Genomic DNA, 17,467 nt, shown 5'->3' with positions numbered 1-17,467 from the left:
AAACCCACACCCTAATTAACTATTCCCACTCTCCTGGCATGCTCAGGTATCAGGCAAAATAAGAGCAAATTTGTACAGGAAACAAGGGATTTCTTTTACATAACACAGATTGGGCTTCTGACTCCCAATCCTTGGGTGTATCGGGTGTAGACCTATGAACAGCAATGCACTCTTTCGTAATTATTACTTCTCTCCCATGGTCAGGGATGCTACCTGAGTCCTAGTTCAAGCCTGAAAGCCCATCGCACACTTACTTCATAACTAATGAGGGAGGAGAACTGTAATAAAAAGAAACCCAGTTAATTACAGAATGCTAATTTAGTGTGGAAATATTTCTTTATTGAGCAAATATTCTGTGGAATTTTTGAAAGGAGGAGGGTTTGGTTTGTCTGTTTTGAACCTGTCAAGCTATACTGAGCATCAATCCTTATGCACACTGTCACACTGAATATAAAAATTTTTAATGTCCGTATTTACAGAATCTTCTTCCCAGATGACATAAAACTTCATTTAAGTTCTTTAGATGATGATAATGATGGTACTAATAAAATGGCCCCCTTTTATCGATAAATGGGCTTTGGGAAATGACCCCACTAAATACAAATCCAAACTCATCTTCGTGTAAGTCTCTGAAGAGTTGGCATGGAATTCTGTCACACAGTGTCCTCAAGGAGGCTCTTCAGCTTCCTGAACTCTAAAGAGGTCGCCTATCTTTGCCCTAATCCTAGCAAATGAGATCCAACAGCAACCCTAAAATAAATAGGAGAAGTCAGCTTAAGCTGTTGATTTACCACGCTTGAGCAAACTGCTTTGTGAATCTATTGGTGTCTCCCAGGATCTATTTTAATGATCTGCCTGAGGTGAACTGAGCAATGATTAAAAGACAAGAACCCTCAAGATCTTCCAAGGAGGGAATTACGATGTCTACACGCGTGGTGAAGCGGCTGGCTGACTCACCTTTCCTCCCTCACCCCTTGGGCCTCTGCAGACCGTGGTCTTCTCAGGACAAGGCGAGCGGCCGCCCTGTGCCATGTGGGACCCACGCAGCCTTCCCCGTCCGCGGTCAGCCCTTTAAACCTGCACCTTCTCGGCCGAGTCCTCCTTTATCCCGACCGTCTATCCTTCGGCTTCTCTAGCAGGGACAGTTTGCTCTTGAGGGAAACAGGAGGAAAGGGCCACGAGGTATCCAAAGAAAAGTCCTTTCAGTAAGCTCATTTTCTTTGACTTGTCTTAGAACCAAAGCAAAGTCCTGTTGGAGGGTCAGAATACGCTGATGTTTCTGGCTACAACCCTCTTCCCCCAAGTTACAAAGTACTAGCTGGGAACCTTCCCAGGGAACTCGTTAGATCTGGCGGCTCTGTAGAGAGAGGCCTTTGTCCAGAGGTGTTTCACATCAAGTTTACCTTGACAGAGGTTCCCTGTGCCTGTACCTTAATCATCAAGCCAGGGCGCCCTTTAGAGAGAGAAGCCAGGGAGAGGAGAGCCGCAGACTCCAGCAGCACCCAGCACTCTACGTCTCCTCCCAGCTTGGTGGCTCAGGGGGCTACAGTCATAAACCAATACAAAATACAAAATTCTTCCCCAAATACATATCCTCCCTCTCTGTCTCTGTCTCTCTCATGCACACACATATGCACGCATGCACACGCACGCACACACACACACACGGACCCCCAAAAGCAGCATTACCTGTTCCTGCTGCTGCACGGATTTCCCCGAAGCGCTTGGCTCCTTGGCTGTGGTCATGGTCTGTCCAGGCGCTTCCCACCACCGGGGCAGGTGGGGTCTGACGGCGAGTTGGGAGCCACCAGAGTCCAAGCGGTAAGGTAAGGAGGAGTGTGATTTTAGTCCATACTTCCGAAATCACAAGGCTATTTTGGGGAGGATGGGGGAGGGAGGGTGGGTAGACAAGACGAGTTTGCTCTTTAAATGCAAGCAGCAGAGAGAGGATCCGAAGCAGGAAGCTGCCGCTGCTTAGTGGGGCTTCTCCAATTAGCAACAGCCTCTGCAATCGCCACAGAAACAATGATAACTGCTTAGCAACCGGCAAGTGGCGGCTGGGTGCAGGAAGGGGACCCGAGTGATGCGCGCTGCCTCCTCGCCCGCCTCCCGGCCCGGCGCCCACGGCGCATGCTCCGGCCGCCCGCTCAGCCGGGCTGGGGCTGGGGCTGGGGCTGGGGCTGGGGCTGGGGCTGGGGCTGGGGCTGGGGCTGGGGCTGGGGAGGGGGCCGCGGAGGCAGCGACTGCCGCGGAGACGCCGCGCCCGCAGCCACAGCCTCGGTCACCGCATCCATCAGGGCCCCGCGCCGCGCCCGGGTGTCTGAACCTGCGGCCCCCACGCAGGGCGCGCCAGACAGCGCGTACCTGGACAGGGGGCAGAGGTGGCCCCAGGAGGGATGCCCTTTGTTTTTTCTTGGTGCAAAGTGTCTGATGCGTGTTTGAGAAGGAAGGGGGTCTGGGAGCACCGGAGGCAGGCAGCTTTTCTGTTTGCCCAGTGGATTTGGCAGGAACACTGGTTGTTGAAATCTTGGGCTTTGTTTTCCTCAAAATTCAGAAAACTTATGTTCCATCGTTAGAATCAAAGAATCTACATTTCTCTAAGAAAATCAACCAGGACCTCAAGGGTGTTTGTCCATTAAAAGAAAGACAGGGAGAGAGAGAGAGGAAAAAAAAAACATTCCAGCCTGTGTGATGACCTTACAGAAACATGAGGGCTCCCCACTGTGTCCTGAGCTCAAGGAGAAAGAGACAAAGCAGGACAGGAGACGGACTGTCCAGCACTCCCTGCCTGAGGCCAGAGGCTGCTGTCGTGTCCTGACCCAGGTACCACTGCCCCTGCCTGGCTCCCTGCACCGGAGCAGTCAGTTAGTGGGTAGAGCGGAAATGCAGGTGGCAAACTCTAAGGAAAGTGCAATCAGCCAGTCATTTGCAGGTGGGAGTATCTCCTGGCCCTCCAGAAGCAGCTCAGAACTCAGTGCCCAGAGGCCTGGCACTCTTTCTCTGCACTCCAGGCCAGCATGTGGCCAAGCTCTCTGTTGATGCATTTCCCACTCCTGGTCTGGAACCTCTACTTTCACCCATTGGCACTTGGTCACAGGCATTCACTGGCCTGAGAGTTCAGCCATTTATATATACGGGGAACTCTCAATAATAAAGTCCTTCAGGCCAGGGCCTGAATCAGTCACTCTAGTCTTTGCATCTCTGTGATGCCCAGTATAGTTCCTTACAGAAAAGAGGCCAACTAGACATGCTTCCATTTAAAAGGTGTTGAAGATTTCCCCTTGTTCAGCCCCTTTCCAATGCCCAGCACTGCTTCCCACCCCATCATTTTACAAAAACAAACCAGCCAGCAAAATGCAAGGCACTGTGGGCTTCTTTGGAATTGATGGCTGAATCCAGGTCACGGCAGAGTGGCTGGTCACCTCTACCATGGCCTGAACTTAATTCTGGTCTGAGTACGTATTTGGCAGACTCTAAGAAGTCTGGGTAGATGGCTGGTAGCTTGCATGGTTCGGCCAGGGGTAAAGAAATGAAAACCCCGTGTGAAACCCTTGCTGTGTGGTATGGGTGTGTGCTTGGCCTTGGTTGCACTGGCTTAGACTCCTGCATGGGACAGGGAGGTCCAGGGGTGGGTATAGCAGTGGTATCAGTTCTCAGCTTGTCTTTGTGACCCTGCCTCCTGGGATGCTAGGAACCTAAGTTCTTATCAGTGTTGGTAGGAGGGACTGGGCCGGGCCAAGCAAGAGTCGGCCTTAGAGGGTCTTCCTACGGTCACAGGTTCCTCAGTGCAAGGTCCCTCCTTGGTCACGTCTCTGGCCCTGGGAGCCACTGCGGTGTAAGGTCACCAAGCAAACCTGTCATGGAGGCCCCAGCAGCTGAGTAAACAGGCTCAGAAAGAAGGGCTGGGTAGCCAGGTGGGCAGTCACTCTCCCCTCACACACCTGAAATGCAGTTGACCCCTGGAGGACCTCAGTCACAGGGAAAATCACAGCCCCTGCCTTAAAGTAGACCAGCGCAGTTTCAGCCTCAGAGTTGCTCAGGACCTCAGATCACCCTGTCCTTCTGGGATTCCTCTTAAACCTAAAACCCCAATTAGCTGGGCGTGGCGGCGCATGCCTGTAATCCCAGCTACTTGAGAGGCTAAGGCAGGAGAATCGCTTGAACCTGAGGGGCGGAAGTTGCAGTGAGCTGAGATGGTGCCATTGCACTCCAGCCTGGGTGACAGGGCAAGACTCCGTCTCAAAACAAACAAACAAACAAAAAAACTAAAACCCCAGGGATGGGTCAAATGTTGAGCTCCCATCTGTTCGCATCTTAGGAAGGATTCATTGCTAACCCACTGAGACCATGGGCTTGACCCAGGGGTGATATCCAGGAGGAAGACAGCAGACGAGAGGAAGACAGGTCTCCTTCAATGATTCCAGGGCCCCTGACCTAAACCCTAAACTGAGGAGCGGTACCACAGGGAATGCTCAGCGGTGCATGCTGGGGAATCCATGTGGGTGCATCCCATTTTCCTTCTCAGTAAAGAGCTTAAAATATTTTTTTACACCTAAACAAATATGGATAGAGTGCAAAGCTTGTGGATATTTGTAAAGTGATACATGATCCTTCAAAGGAATGTCCTGCTGGGATCAGATTGCTTGGACTTTGACCAGCCAGGCCCCACCGGGGCTCCCCACCTCCCTCACTCATCTACTCTGCCATTCACCCATCTGTCATCAGGAGCCTCCAGGTGGGGAAGTTTAGGAATTACTGGTGGAGAACCAGGCCAGGTTGTGCCACTCAGTACCTTTCCTTGGAACATTCTGGTACCAGGTTCTCAGCTGCCCACCTTTTTACATACTTGACTTTGGCTGTTTTTAAAAACAAAAGAGCGAGATATCCTGCCATTGGTGACAGCATGAATGAACCTGGAGGAAAGATGCCAAGAGAAATGAGCCAGGCACAGAAGAACAAATGCGGCACAGTTCCACTTCTATGAGGCTTTGAAAGTAGCCAAACTCACGGAGGCAAAAGGAACAGGGTAGTGGTTGCCTGGGACTGGTGGGAGCGGGAGGTGAGGAGTTGCTAATTGAAAGGCATAAAGTCTCAATTATGTGAGATGAATAAGTTTGACAGATCTGCTGTACAACCTTGTACCTACAGATAACTTGCACACTAAAAATCCGTTAAGAGGGTAGATCACGAGGTCAGGAGATCGAGACCATCCTGGCTAACATGGTGAAACCCCGTCTCTGCTAAAAATGCAAAAAATTAGCCGGGCGTGGTGTCACGCTCCTGTAGTCCTAGCTGCTCGGGAGGCTGAGGCAGGAGGATCACTTGAACCTGGGAGGTGGAGGTTGCAGTGAGCCGAGATTGCACCACTGCACTCCAGCCTGGGTGACAGAGCTGGGTGACAGCCCGGGTGAGAGCTCTGTCTCCAACAAAAAAAAAAAAAAAAAAAAAAAAAAAGAGGGCAGATCTTGTATTAAGTGTTCTTACCATAATGAAATAGGACTGCCTTTTATTCATATTTTAAAGTTAATCAGTATGCCTCCAGAGAACAAACATTGTACTTAAGTTTATCCTCTCAAGCTAAAGGTGTTTGCTTATTACTGCAAATACAGAAAGGCCTATCTTTCATTGGAGATCAAAACTAAATCTGCCTGGGCATTATCGGTGCCATCATCTAGAGCTCCGTGGTCAAAGAGAAGGTTAACAACTGGCAAATACAGGACGTGTTACCCCCCCTAAAGTTGTGCAGACCAAGAGAAAATACAAGACTTTACAGGCTCATTTCTAGAAAGCAGCATCTATAAGTATTATGGTTTTCAGTAACTACGGGCTGCAGGAAAAGCAACTCAGAGAAGACTTGAGGATGAATCTAGCAGGGGCAAGAGTGGGGAAAAAGAGCCACTGCACTCCTTTCCAAGCGCCTTGCACAGAAGAGGTGCTCAATGAATACTGACTTGGCATCAGACATACTTAGCAAAGAAAGACACTACATGCTCACCTGCCCTTAATCATAACAATAACAATGGCCAAGCTACCTGCAGCGGTGGAAGTGCCAGATGGTTAATATCTGACCTCACACCTCCAGCAACACCATGAGGCAGACTGTTATTTCCCCCATTTTACAGGTGAGGAAATTGATATTCAGAAAATTTAATATGAAACCCAAGGTCACTCAGAGCAAGTAAGTCACAGCAGAACTTGAACCTTGGCAGTCTAGACCCTAAACCACCATATAACATCGCCTGTGTGTGTCTGTGTCCTAATCTCTCTTCTTATAAGGACATCAGCCATATTAAATTAGGGCCCACCCATAGGACCTCATTTTAACTTGATTCACCTCTTTAAAGACCGTATCTCCAAATATCATCACATTCTGAAGCACTGGGTGTTAAGACTTCAACACATGGATTTTTGGGGGACCCAACAGCCCATAATAATGATTACTATCCCCATTTCATTTATGAGGGAAGTGAGGCTTGAACTGATAAGAAACTCTTCCAAGTTCACAGTCAGCAGAAAACAGCAGAGTTGGTATTCATATCCAGATGTTTGATCCAAGCCCTTGCCCCAACCCCACACACACACAGCCCCAAATCCCCACACACGTATACACACGTCCTGTGTCTCTTCAGACCCCTCCAAAGTGCTTGGGCGGGAGATCCAGTCCCAAATTCTCCAAACAAGTTTAAGACGTCTCAAGTCATGTCTGTCTACTCCAGCTTCTGCTAAGAAACAGGCAGCTCAAGGGGTCTTGCTATGACCTTGACTCTGGGCCAGTGCCTCCCTTTGTGTCTAGGAAGAATTGCAATTTGATGGAGCACAAGTACCTTGCAAGGAGCATCTTGGAAAAAGTGCTGATCTCAGTGCCTCCCTAGTGAAGGCTCCTGGTGTCTGTGAGTGAAAGCACCTCCATTTTGCAGCTAAGTACTCTCGTGGTGGCCGATAAACACACTTAGCAAAGACTGCACCAGAGCCTGATGCTCAGCCAAGACGGGTCTTCTCTGTAGTCACTGGGCATAGGTACCCCCTGGAGCCTGGCGGGGCATGGGGGCAGGCCCACCTGCCAACCCGGGACTCCAGCAGCCGCTTGTCTTGCCATGCTATTTACCTCCCACTCCCACGGGCACTTTTGCCCAATTCTATTAGCAATTTCTCAGATACCTGCAACCAGCCTGACAAATGGATTTGAGGCGCAATCAGTCCTGTGCAGGTGCAACTGAAGAGAGGCGTTTTCACTTGGGAAAGCCAATCTAGCCTTAGCCATTCTCCCCCCTCCAGATGTGTCTGAGTAGGGCTGCTGGCAGAGGCACAGCTAATTAGGTTTGTTTGTAGCCGTGCAAGCCTGCATCCCTCCGCAGCCTGATGCAATTTCTCACCCTTCTGATTTACACTCACCTTGCCCTAAGTAGACAATCAGCTGCAGTCGCTTTGCTTCGAATATCATTTAATCAGCAAGTGTTTATCCAGGACCTACTATGTGCAGACGAAAGCCCTACAAGAAATAGGCCTGCCGGCTGATTTGCTCAGGAAGGTAGAGATCAAAATGTCTTTAAATTGTGAGTTGTGATGATTTTGGATTGTAAGTCTTTGCCATCTGCAAGAGAAGTCACTTCTTCTAACTTACAATCCCCTAAAAATAAAAATGAATGTGGGGCAGCAGGGTACGATTCTTCTGGAGTCATGCCAGGATCCAAAGAAACTAGTTGGAAAGAAAGAAACAACAACAACAAAAAACCCACACTTTTTCTTCAACTCATACAAAAAGACCAAGTTGGGATGGAACTGTGGATGAGTTTTCTGGCCTGAGGACCAGCTTTCCGACAGTCGACCACTGCGTGCTCACTGTCACCTCAGACATTTCAACTAGAACTCTCCAGCTCCCACTGAGGAGTTCTCCCTGCATTTGGAGGCTTGTTTGGGTTTGGTTTTGGTTTTCTCTTGCACGCCCATTACTTAAATGCTGAGGTCCCTGGAAGCTGCTGGGTCTGCGTGGTCAGGGCTCACCGGGGCAAGGAGCCGTGGGCAACCCAACGCCAGCACCCCTTTGAGGGGAAGGGTCTGGGAAGACAGAGGAAAGGGTCTAGGAAGAGAAATAAAGTGCACCAAAAATGGACCCAAATCACCTGTGAGATCCTTACAGACTGGTAAACCTCACCTGGGGAGGAGGAAGTCCCTGAAGCCAAATTCAATTCTCCTCAGCTTGCAGAACACATTTCTCCTGTGTCCAGTAATCTAACCCTGGGGAATTATTTCTTGTTCAGTAAGAATGTCTCAAAGAAGACCCAAGGCGAGTTGGTGTGGGCAGGGAGGCCGAGGGTCTCGCGGATGAGAACGCAGACCAGAGCCAGGCCCAACAAGCAAGGCTGAACATCTGGGCCCATTTTGTCCACACTTCAAATTATAGCTGGGAGAGTGAACTTGGTCCAAAGTCTGTCCCTCCCCCAGGCTTCGAGAGGAAGAGTTTCCTCTTGGGAGTATAAACCAAGAGAGCTGCCGGGGCCACAGCTTTCCCTCCCAGCAGGGTATGGACGGTGAGGGTTGGCTGGGACAGAGTTCCCAAAGGCCCTAACGCACTCATCACCTTCACCCCATGCTTCAGGCACTACTGCTAGAGTAAAGGATGCAATGATTTTTTCTTTGGTTAAAAGAACACGGGTACATCTCTTGAACTAGAAGTGGGAAAAGGCTAGAGAATCACACCCGGGTGATCTGGGGCTTCCTTCATTTTAAATTCTTTATTAGTAAGAAAAATAAGAATGTGGAGGTGCAATAAGAGCACAGGCACACATCGCTTCTGGGTAGTTTAATGTCTGCCTGCCCTTCCATGTCCCTTCTCTTGTGTCTCCAGAATATTAGAATGCTGTGGATAAGGAGTAGATCCCCCACTGCCCCGGAGCCTTCTAGATGAATAGGCTGCACACGCAGCAGGGGTCTCCAGAGATGCACAACCAATAGTGTGTGTATGTGTGTGTGTGGAGAGAGAGAGACAGATTTTTAAGGATGGTGGATTGTGGGGGCTGGCAGATGTGAAGTCTGCAGGGCAGGGCAGCTGGCTGGAAACCCGGGGAAGAGTTGGGATGGTGGCTCAAGCCTGAAGGCTGTCTGGAGGCAGAATCCTTTCCTCCCTGGGAGACCTCATTATTTTCTCCTAAAGCCTTCAACTAATCGGACGAGGCCCACCCACATGGTAGAGGGGGACCTGCTCTACTCCATGTCCGCTAACTGAATTATCAATCACATCTTCAAAACAAAACTCCACAGCAACATGTCGCCTGGTGTTTGAGAAGAAGCTGGGTACCGTGGCCTAGCCAAGCTGACACCTAAAACTAACCATGACAGGCAGCAACTGGAAAAGCTCGTCGCAGCATCTGTCAGCGTGCACGCTCTTCATTTACTCTCCCTCTCCTTCCCGCCTTTTCCCATCTGCCTATCTGGAATGCTTGCTACAATCTGGAACCATGAGACCAAACCCTTCGTGGGAGAAAACATAATAGAAGGAGCAGAGGCTTTTGTGAGAAGAGGAGCCATGCTATCCCTGGACTGCTTGTCTCCAAACTGTATTTACAAGAAAGAGAAATAAACTTCTGCTGTGTACTGGGCACTGTTATTTTAGGTTTTCTGGCGTGCACAACCAAGCCAAAATTGATACAGTCCAAGTCCTTCTTCTGTTTTCTGTTCATATTACTCCTATCCATTGTGTTCAGAGTGTCCTGAAGAGAGAGCAGAGAATACTGGCAAGAAACAGTAGCTGGTTTGCCTTATTGGACCTACTATATTTATGTTGATTTCCAGGTGTAGCAAGTGCATGAGCATCTAAACAAGGGTAGGAAAACCAGGGCTCATGGGCCAAACCTGGCCCCCTTCTTATTTTGTGAATAAAGTTTTATTGGAATGCAGCTAAGCCCATTTACTTATAGACTGTCTAATGGCTGCCTATGTACCACAACAGGAGAGGTGACAGGTTTGACAAAGGCCATGTAGCCGTAAAGTGTAAAATACTTATTACCTGGTTCTTGCAGAAAGAATTTGCCCACCCCTGGTCTACAGCAACTCTGTTGCAGGTCAAGTAAAGGTAGGTCATTTCACTCAGTACCACAATTCAATAAAAAAAAAATCTTCTGATATTAAAGTAGGCTATCCCTCACCCTCCAAATAGAAAAACAAAACAAAAAAAAAAAAACAGAATACATTTCACAATCAACCTAGCAGATATGCCTTTCAGGAATAAAGATGTTTACACTGCTTAAGGCAGTACACTTCCTACACGGCTTGTCAGCATGTATCTCCTTTCTTGTCTACCATGAACTGAGACTGACTGACAGATCCATCCATGGTTAAATGTGTGAACCCTAGCTGCATCCTCTCCAAATGCCACAGCAAGTTTCATCAAACAGGGCTCAGTATCCAATTCTAAGGAACTAGAATCTCCTACAGATTGGGGAAATGCTGAAAGCATTCAAAGAGTTCACCAAATCCATACCCACTATCACTTACAGTTAGTACTCAAATGTATGTGTTTGAATAAACAGGTGCATCATGTGGGGCCTTCAGGTTTCAGGGAATTCTAGTATACGTCACATGGGAAGGCTTTTCATCTTTTCTCTTCCTAAAAGGCACTTCCCTTACTCGTCATAAACCTTCATGACAAGATAACGGTAATCACAGTGCTGCCGTTAAGGCTGTCACTTTTCCTGGGAACCAAGGACACAGGAGGCTGGGCCTGAGCCCATGTGTCCAGCTGCCTGGGAAGCCAATGGCTTTGTGTTTACTGAGAAACTGCTATGTGCTAGCTGCTTTGTATATAAAGTCAGGAAATCTTCTCTCACTGTCTCACCGTCTAATAGAAGAGGGAAACTTGTAAATAAATGTCTTTTGGTCCTATCTTAAGAATTACAAGAAGATGGACTATGGGGATAGTGTGGAGGCAACCTGGGTGTCCATCCTTGTGGAACAGACTGGATGCAACCATGCAAGGCTAAGCAGCAATTAGAAGCAACGGCAGCCGGGCGCGGTGGCTCACGCCTGTCATCCCAGCACTTTGCGAGGCCGAGGCAGGCGGATCACAAGGTCACGAGATTGAGACCATCCTGGCTAACATGGTGAAACCCCGTCTTTACTAAAAAATACAAAAAATTAGCCAGCATGGTGGCAGGTGCCTGTAGTCTCAGCTGCTCGGGAGGCTGAGGCAGGAGAATGGCGTGAACCTGGGAGGTAGAGCTTGCAGTGAGCCGAGATAGCACCACTGCACTCCAGCCTGGGTGACAGAGAGAGACTCTGTCTCAAAAAAAAAAAAAAAAAAGAAGCAACTGTTTATGCATACACAGAGCAATAAGCAATCGATTATGTGTACACAGAGCAACAGGGAGGGAACATAGACACAGTACTTAAGAAAAAAGAGGAATCTAAATATAAATGTAAATACGCACAAAACACATAAGGCATCCATGTATAAACTCAAACCATTTAACAAATTAAAGAATACATTTCTACAAAGAATGTGTTTTGCCAAAATTATATACAAACCAAAAGCTACCCATCAAACATAATATCATGTGCACTGAGGGTAGGGAGGGGAAGGGGAGTGGATTATGAGGGAAATAAGGAAAAAGGAAGTGAAGGAAGGAGGAAGAAAGTACGACAGTTCTTGCTAGGATCATTGATGCTGGTATGCTATGAACTCCCCGTCTCTAAATCTGTTCCCTCACCTGTAAGTGAGGGCAGAGAAAGCCAAAATAAAATGTACTGAGGGCCCTCTGCAGCCCTGCATTATTACACATACTATCTTATCTAACCTTCACAAGGATCCTAGGAGGGAATTTACAGATATGAAAATTGGGGCTTAGAGGAAATGGATAAGTTGTCGAAGGTCACACAGATAGTGGTTTGATGGATAGCTTGGGTGTAAATCCCATCTCTAACTCTCAGTCTGAGTGATTTGTATGAACAACACACTCCCTAAATTCGGTGTTCAGGTTACCCTCCAGCTCATGTCTCACTCCAGCTTTGGGCTGGTGGCCTCCAGGCAATCATGAGAGGAGACCAGATGCAATACTAACCCTGCGACAGTTTGAAAATCATGTTTTAAAATGCTCATGTTTCACTCCAAAGTGGCTGGATTTCATTCAGGTTGTTTTGCTTCTCACGTCTGGCCCCTGCACAACTTCACATCCTTGAATGCATCTGCAGAGCAAGGGAGCGCCGGCACAGGCAGGTCTGCCCACAGGTTGGCCCTCGATGGCACGGCACCACCATGCTCCTCCTCGGTCACCTCCTGCCACCAGATGACCTTGGCGACGGCAGCGTGACAGATGCCTTGTTTATGTTTTTTTAACGGCTCCAGGTGACATTTCTGGGGCTGTCTGCTCAGCCAGAATTTGGTGCCAGCTGTGGAACAAGCCCACAGATTGTCGGGGGAACACACACCAGGGTGGGTGATGCAGATGTTTCCACTGCCGTGCTGTCTTCAGTGGCCTGTAGGGAAAGGTATCCCCAAGAAACCCTCTGGAGTTGTCCCCTGTCTGGGGCTCCAAGTCCTCTTCTTGTTTCCCAGAAACTCTGCTCCCCTCCATGCCTTCTGGGCTAGACCTCGCTGTTTAGCAACAGGATTGGAGTCAGGAAAGATTTTCATGCCTACATAGGAGAATGTCTTATGTAAAATATCCCCCAAACCTTCACGTGCCCATACTTTATTCTCAACATGAAATACATGAACTAACAGACCCATGCAGAAAATCTCCAGAGAAGGCTCAGTTCATACAATCCCTGTTGGCCAACTTTGCAACACAGATATGATTTGGCCTTGGGGAGTGGTGTAAATGACAATATAAATGACATTCAAGTAGGCCACTAAAAACTGGAGATAAGTATAAGCAATGGAAATCTAAAACACTTGGCATCTTCCCCTAGAAGGCATTAGCAAAGACACCAGCTCCAGCCCCACTCCCAACTCCTTCCACCTGATGAGCTCCTAATCATCCTTTAGTGCCCCGTGCAAATGTCACCTCCTACCCCAGGCTTATGGGAAGTGCTTGTTACCTTAGAGCATCACTGACCACTTCTCTGCCCGGCCCTGCCTGTGAGTTTCTCCGTGGCAGGGACCAGGTAAGATAAAGGGTTGCCCATCAGTGAAAGGAATGAGCGTTGAAGTCAGAATAATTTCTTGTTTGCAAATCCCGGGTCCTTTCGCTTACTGGCTATGTGCACCAAAGTTAATGAGATAGAAACTATGTAAAGCAATGGACATCTAGTAGGGACTCCATAACTGGCTCTCGTCATGGCTAGGCTGAGGGCTCCGTAAGGGAAGGTCTTATTCATCTTTGCATCCTGTGTGCGCTTAGCACACAGGAAACAATGAAATAATGTGTGTATCAGGGAGAGAACTTTTGGAAAACCTGAGTGTCACCTAGACTGAAATCAAGAGACAAGAGCATCTCCATGTGATACACTTAGATAGGTCAGAACCAGTTCATTCATTTTAGGCAACTCATCATCTGCAAAGCAATGCAGACAGAATTGCAACACACAGAGCTTCTCATAGAACCTCACAGGGTAGTAGGGTCACAGTTCATGAATAACTGAAAGATGTCAACATGAACTAGAAAACATTTATGTATGTCGCCCTGGGAGAATGCAAATGAATTCAGCAGAAAGAAAATGTGGGCCAAAATGACTCAGCCAGATGTTTCCAAATTGTGCTAGAGTAACCTTTCCTAGGCTGCCAGGATGAAGGAGTTGATGGGGGGAGGCTTGTCTAGAACTTGGGGCTCCATTTCCCCCCTCTCCCCTTCTCATCCTTCAGCCCACACAGCTCCACTTTTATCTCCTTTATGTGAATTACAAGCATCGGAACAAAGAGCTCTGCAGCTTAAAACACTTGGGGATCACTGAATCCTACGCTACAGATGAACACTTCTGAAAGGAGCAAGGACGAAAAAGGAGGAGAGATGACCACTAAAGTGAAGGCTTCTTACATGTTAGAAGTCAAAGATGAAATACCAGCGGAAGCTAGATTCCGTCATTCATCAGACAGGCCTAAGTATTACCTATGACTTATATCTTAAGTGTTTCTTTTGCTGAAAATTAAAACTAGGTGAAAGTCATTAGGAAATAGACCTCAGCCTATCAAATTAAAAAAAGAGTATTTCCTAAATGAAGTAATAAATGAGATATGGAATGGGAAGTCAGAATTGCCAGCAACCCCCACAAGAAACAGCAAAGATAACTACTTAGGGAACATAAAACACCAAATGAAGACAATTACCTTTCTAAGATAATTTTTAAAGCCCAAGATTTCTATTATGAAATTAATTTAATCTGTCCCTTATTATGTAAATCAGTGTTAAAAGAGAGAAGGTAGAATAAAATTTAAAAAGTGGATAAATATATTTTAGGTATTTCCTATTAGAACATAAACTCCTCAGAAAGGTATTGTTTTGTGTAACTTTTGTGAAACGCGATTTCCTATGAGCTATTGGAACTCCACTGTGCTAAGTTCCCTAGGAAATCAAAAACGAGACTCTGCCTGCCTGTGGACACAGGATTCCTTTTATTCTAAAGCATTTCTCTTCCTTTTAAGAATGTTCAGATCCCTTAGCTTCTCCAGATGACCTTCTGAAGTTGACACCAGAGCCAAGTCCTTCAGAAACCTCAGGTTCCAACAGTTGTTAACTTCCCATTTTCGACATATTTATTTGTATAATATACCAAACTGCCAAATCAACCCGGGGCTTTGGTGCAATGGGAAAAAGCACATCTGAAATGAATTGGTTTCATAGTGAATTATGTGTCTTTACAAACATGCTCAGACGAATGCTGACAGATTGCCCTTGTACTGAACATAGTATGCTGGGAAATTAGCCACGTTTGAGCCAGATCCCAGAAAAGATGCAAGACTGAAACTCACAAGAGGATTGATGAGTTCTCAAAGCCCACCCTGCGTGGGATGACAGAGAACAGTCACTAGGGTGAAACTTGTGGGGGACCAGAAAATCTGGTATATATATATTTTCCTTGCCTAATCGCAGTTAGGTTTTTATCCTTTGTCGGTGGTGCCATTCATAAAACTATTGATAACAGATACAGCTGACACAAGACGTAAGAGTGCCATATCTCTATATTGACCTGGTTTTGAGAATCTGTCAATGGATCAACTTGACAGAGAGTAAGGACTAAATTGACGAGATCCAGGAACATAGTTCAGAGGTTCAGGGCTACCTTCTTCCTTTCCTCTCCTCATCTGCTTTCAGACGTCCCCCTCATCCTTCAGATTAACTGGCCCCCTGATGTGTATAGATTCCTGCTGTACCTCTGAAAAGGAATGAAGCTGATACGCTCCTTTATTCTGAGGTATTAAGATGGAATATGCTTTTCTTCTCTGAAGTGTTTATGTTTAATAGGAAATTCCTAAATGTCCATGCCTAGGTTCATTCTGGTCAGTAACTCACCTCTGTGCAACCTTCTAAGGACAAGATGAGAATATGGTAAAACATGGTCAATTGGACCGGGGTTTGTGGCCTGACCAAACAACAGCCAATCTGTAGCCAAAAATTCCACATGAAGAAATGAGTCAGGTCAATCTTATTTTCCATTGTAGGAACCTGAACTTAGAAATTCAGGAGTCTGTTAGTGGCTAGCAGGGCAGACTGAAGCTTCAAAGCTCAGGAGAGAGAGTCTAGGCTATGAGGACGCAGCCATTACAAAGCAGCTCTGACAGCAATGCACATTCCAGAGGTAGAGAGAGGAGAAGCCGTGAGTGAGCATGGAATCCAGTTGTTAAGAAGCAAGAAGGAAGCAAGGCCTCGCTGATGCAAGAACTGGACCTTGGAGTGGTCTTGGTTCCTGGAGACTTGCCAGTTTTCACTTCTAGGGGTAGGGGCTGTGTCCTTACCATCACAAGTTTTATTCAGAGATAACTGGAATGCAACTTCCCTTTTTGCAATGAAACCAATCTGAGCCTGCATTTTGGGGTTCATGCAAACTCAGAGGCCTCCATTTCAAGCCCAAGTTGGTTTCTAATGTAATGTTAGGGTGGTGGTGATGGGCAAGTAAAAGGTCCCAATAGGTCCTAACAGGGATTTCCAAGGCCAGGATCCACCTCAGTGACCCTCTCATCTCAGGGGTCAGAAGGAATTCTTATGGGATTGTTTTTGGAGGGGAGCGGTGGCTGCAAACTAGGTCAGGTTCTGAAGCCCAGTATTTTCAACTTCCTGAGAGTTTCCACTTCTCCTGAAATGAGAGATGGTTACTGGATTCCAGATTGGTCCCTACTTTTGTTTTGTCTCTTGTTTAATTTTTATTGAACATCTATCATATCCCAGTTCCTATTTAGACACTGGGGAAGGTCTATCCATATGGGACAGCCCTTGGCTTTGAAGGGCTCCAAGTCTGGTAAGAAGGCAAACAGGGAAACAAACAGACTCTCTCCAGATAAACACAGGCATGTGCAGAGGAAGAGCAAGGGACCTGCGATTCTAGAATGGCTCATGTAAGAAGCCCCGCGGGAACACCAGGGGCCAGTGGACTAGAGGAAAATGGCTGCCAAGTGGAACATCACATACAAATGAGTCATGAGCAAGAGGGAATTTTTTTTTTTTTTTTGGAGACAGAGTTTTGCTCTTGTCACACAGGCTACAGTGCGTTCAATGGTGCAATCTCGGCTCACTGCAACCTCCACCTCCCGGGTCCAAGGGATTCTCCTGCCTCAGCCTCCCTAAGATTTTGAGGAATTTTCATGAATGTGCATGCCTGGAGTGCAAGGCAGGGGGGTGGCAGGGAGCAGGGCGAAGGCTCAGATTGCCAAGGAGCCCATCCACGAAGGGAAAAAATCGACTCTGCAAAAATAAAACCAAAGGTATTTTTTCAGAGCGTAGAAGATGGACTGGGGCCGAGATACCAGTTTAGGACATTTTTGGAATGGTCCAAGAAAGAAATAAGAAGTGCCTGAAGTAAAACATTAGAGATGAATAAAAACTTAAAATTAAAATGATGTATCAAGGTATCATTGAGAGAACATGTTGACCAATTACAATTTGATCATTTTCTTTAGAGACGTTTGGCTGCAGCAACATAAATAATTCTCTTCCAGACTCAAAACAAGGTACTGGCAACATGAGCAACATTTGTCCCTTGTTTTTACCTTTCATTTGTACTTTTCCTTGGCACTGCAGTGTGTCCATGTGTAACTTAATAATAAATGATTTCGTAATGATGGGAATGAATTGCAATGATCACACCTCATTTATTTTTCAACATCCTCGCCCATCTGGTCATTCCAGCAAGCATCACATTTTCTTCCAAACCTTGTATTTCAACCTATGGGCTCCTTGGTTCCTTGTTTGATTAGCCTCATCACCCTGGCTCATGGGATGAGACTCGGTCAGGATTCAGGGAATCTAGCCTCAGTACCCTACCCATGGCATAACGCCAGGACTGCCATCCCCATCAGACGCTGGGGTTGGGATGTTAGGCAATG

General features: G+C 47.1%; 1 protein-coding gene across 14 annotated transcripts in view, besides 1 other annotated feature; it reads right to left on the bottom strand.

Annotated features, from left to right (window-relative positions):
- Nucleotides 1–17,467, bottom strand: part of DPP6 (dipeptidyl peptidase like 6) — a 1,146,153-nt gene that overhangs the window by 587,045 nt on the left and 541,641 nt on the right. For 4 of the 14 annotated variants that reach the window (NR_157196.2, NM_001936.5, NM_001290252.2 and 1 more), the window contains exon 1: nucleotides 1,690–2,082. The exons of the other annotated variants lie outside the window; for them this stretch is intronic. Coding sequence is in view for 3 of the 4 variants with exons in the window: in NM_001936.5 (NP_001927.3) it covers nucleotides 1,690–1,746 (57 nt within the window). In the remaining variant the exon portion in view is untranslated. Of the gene's footprint in view, nucleotides 1–1,689; nucleotides 2,083–17,467 lie in introns of those variants that run through there. 14 annotated transcript variants of the gene reach the window in all.
- Nucleotides 12,264–12,764: an enhancer, noted in NCBI's record as "H3K4me1 hESC enhancer chr7:153991562-153992062 (GRCh37/hg19 assembly coordinates)". NCBI's record gives its function as "activates a minimal SCP1, AML or CMV promoter by ChIP-STARR-seq in naive H9 embryonic stem cells {active_cell/tissue: H9 hESC(naive)}" and the evidence as "EXISTENCE:reporter gene assay evidence [ECO:0000049][PMID:30033119]".

Source organism: Homo sapiens, chromosome 7 (assembly GCF_000001405.40).
Source record: "Homo sapiens chromosome 7, GRCh38.p14 Primary Assembly".
Taxonomy (NCBI): domain Eukaryota; kingdom Metazoa; phylum Chordata; class Mammalia; order Primates; family Hominidae; genus Homo; species Homo sapiens.
The sequence above is the reverse complement of the archived record's forward strand: the minus strand, read 5'-3'. Positions and strand labels throughout refer to the sequence as shown.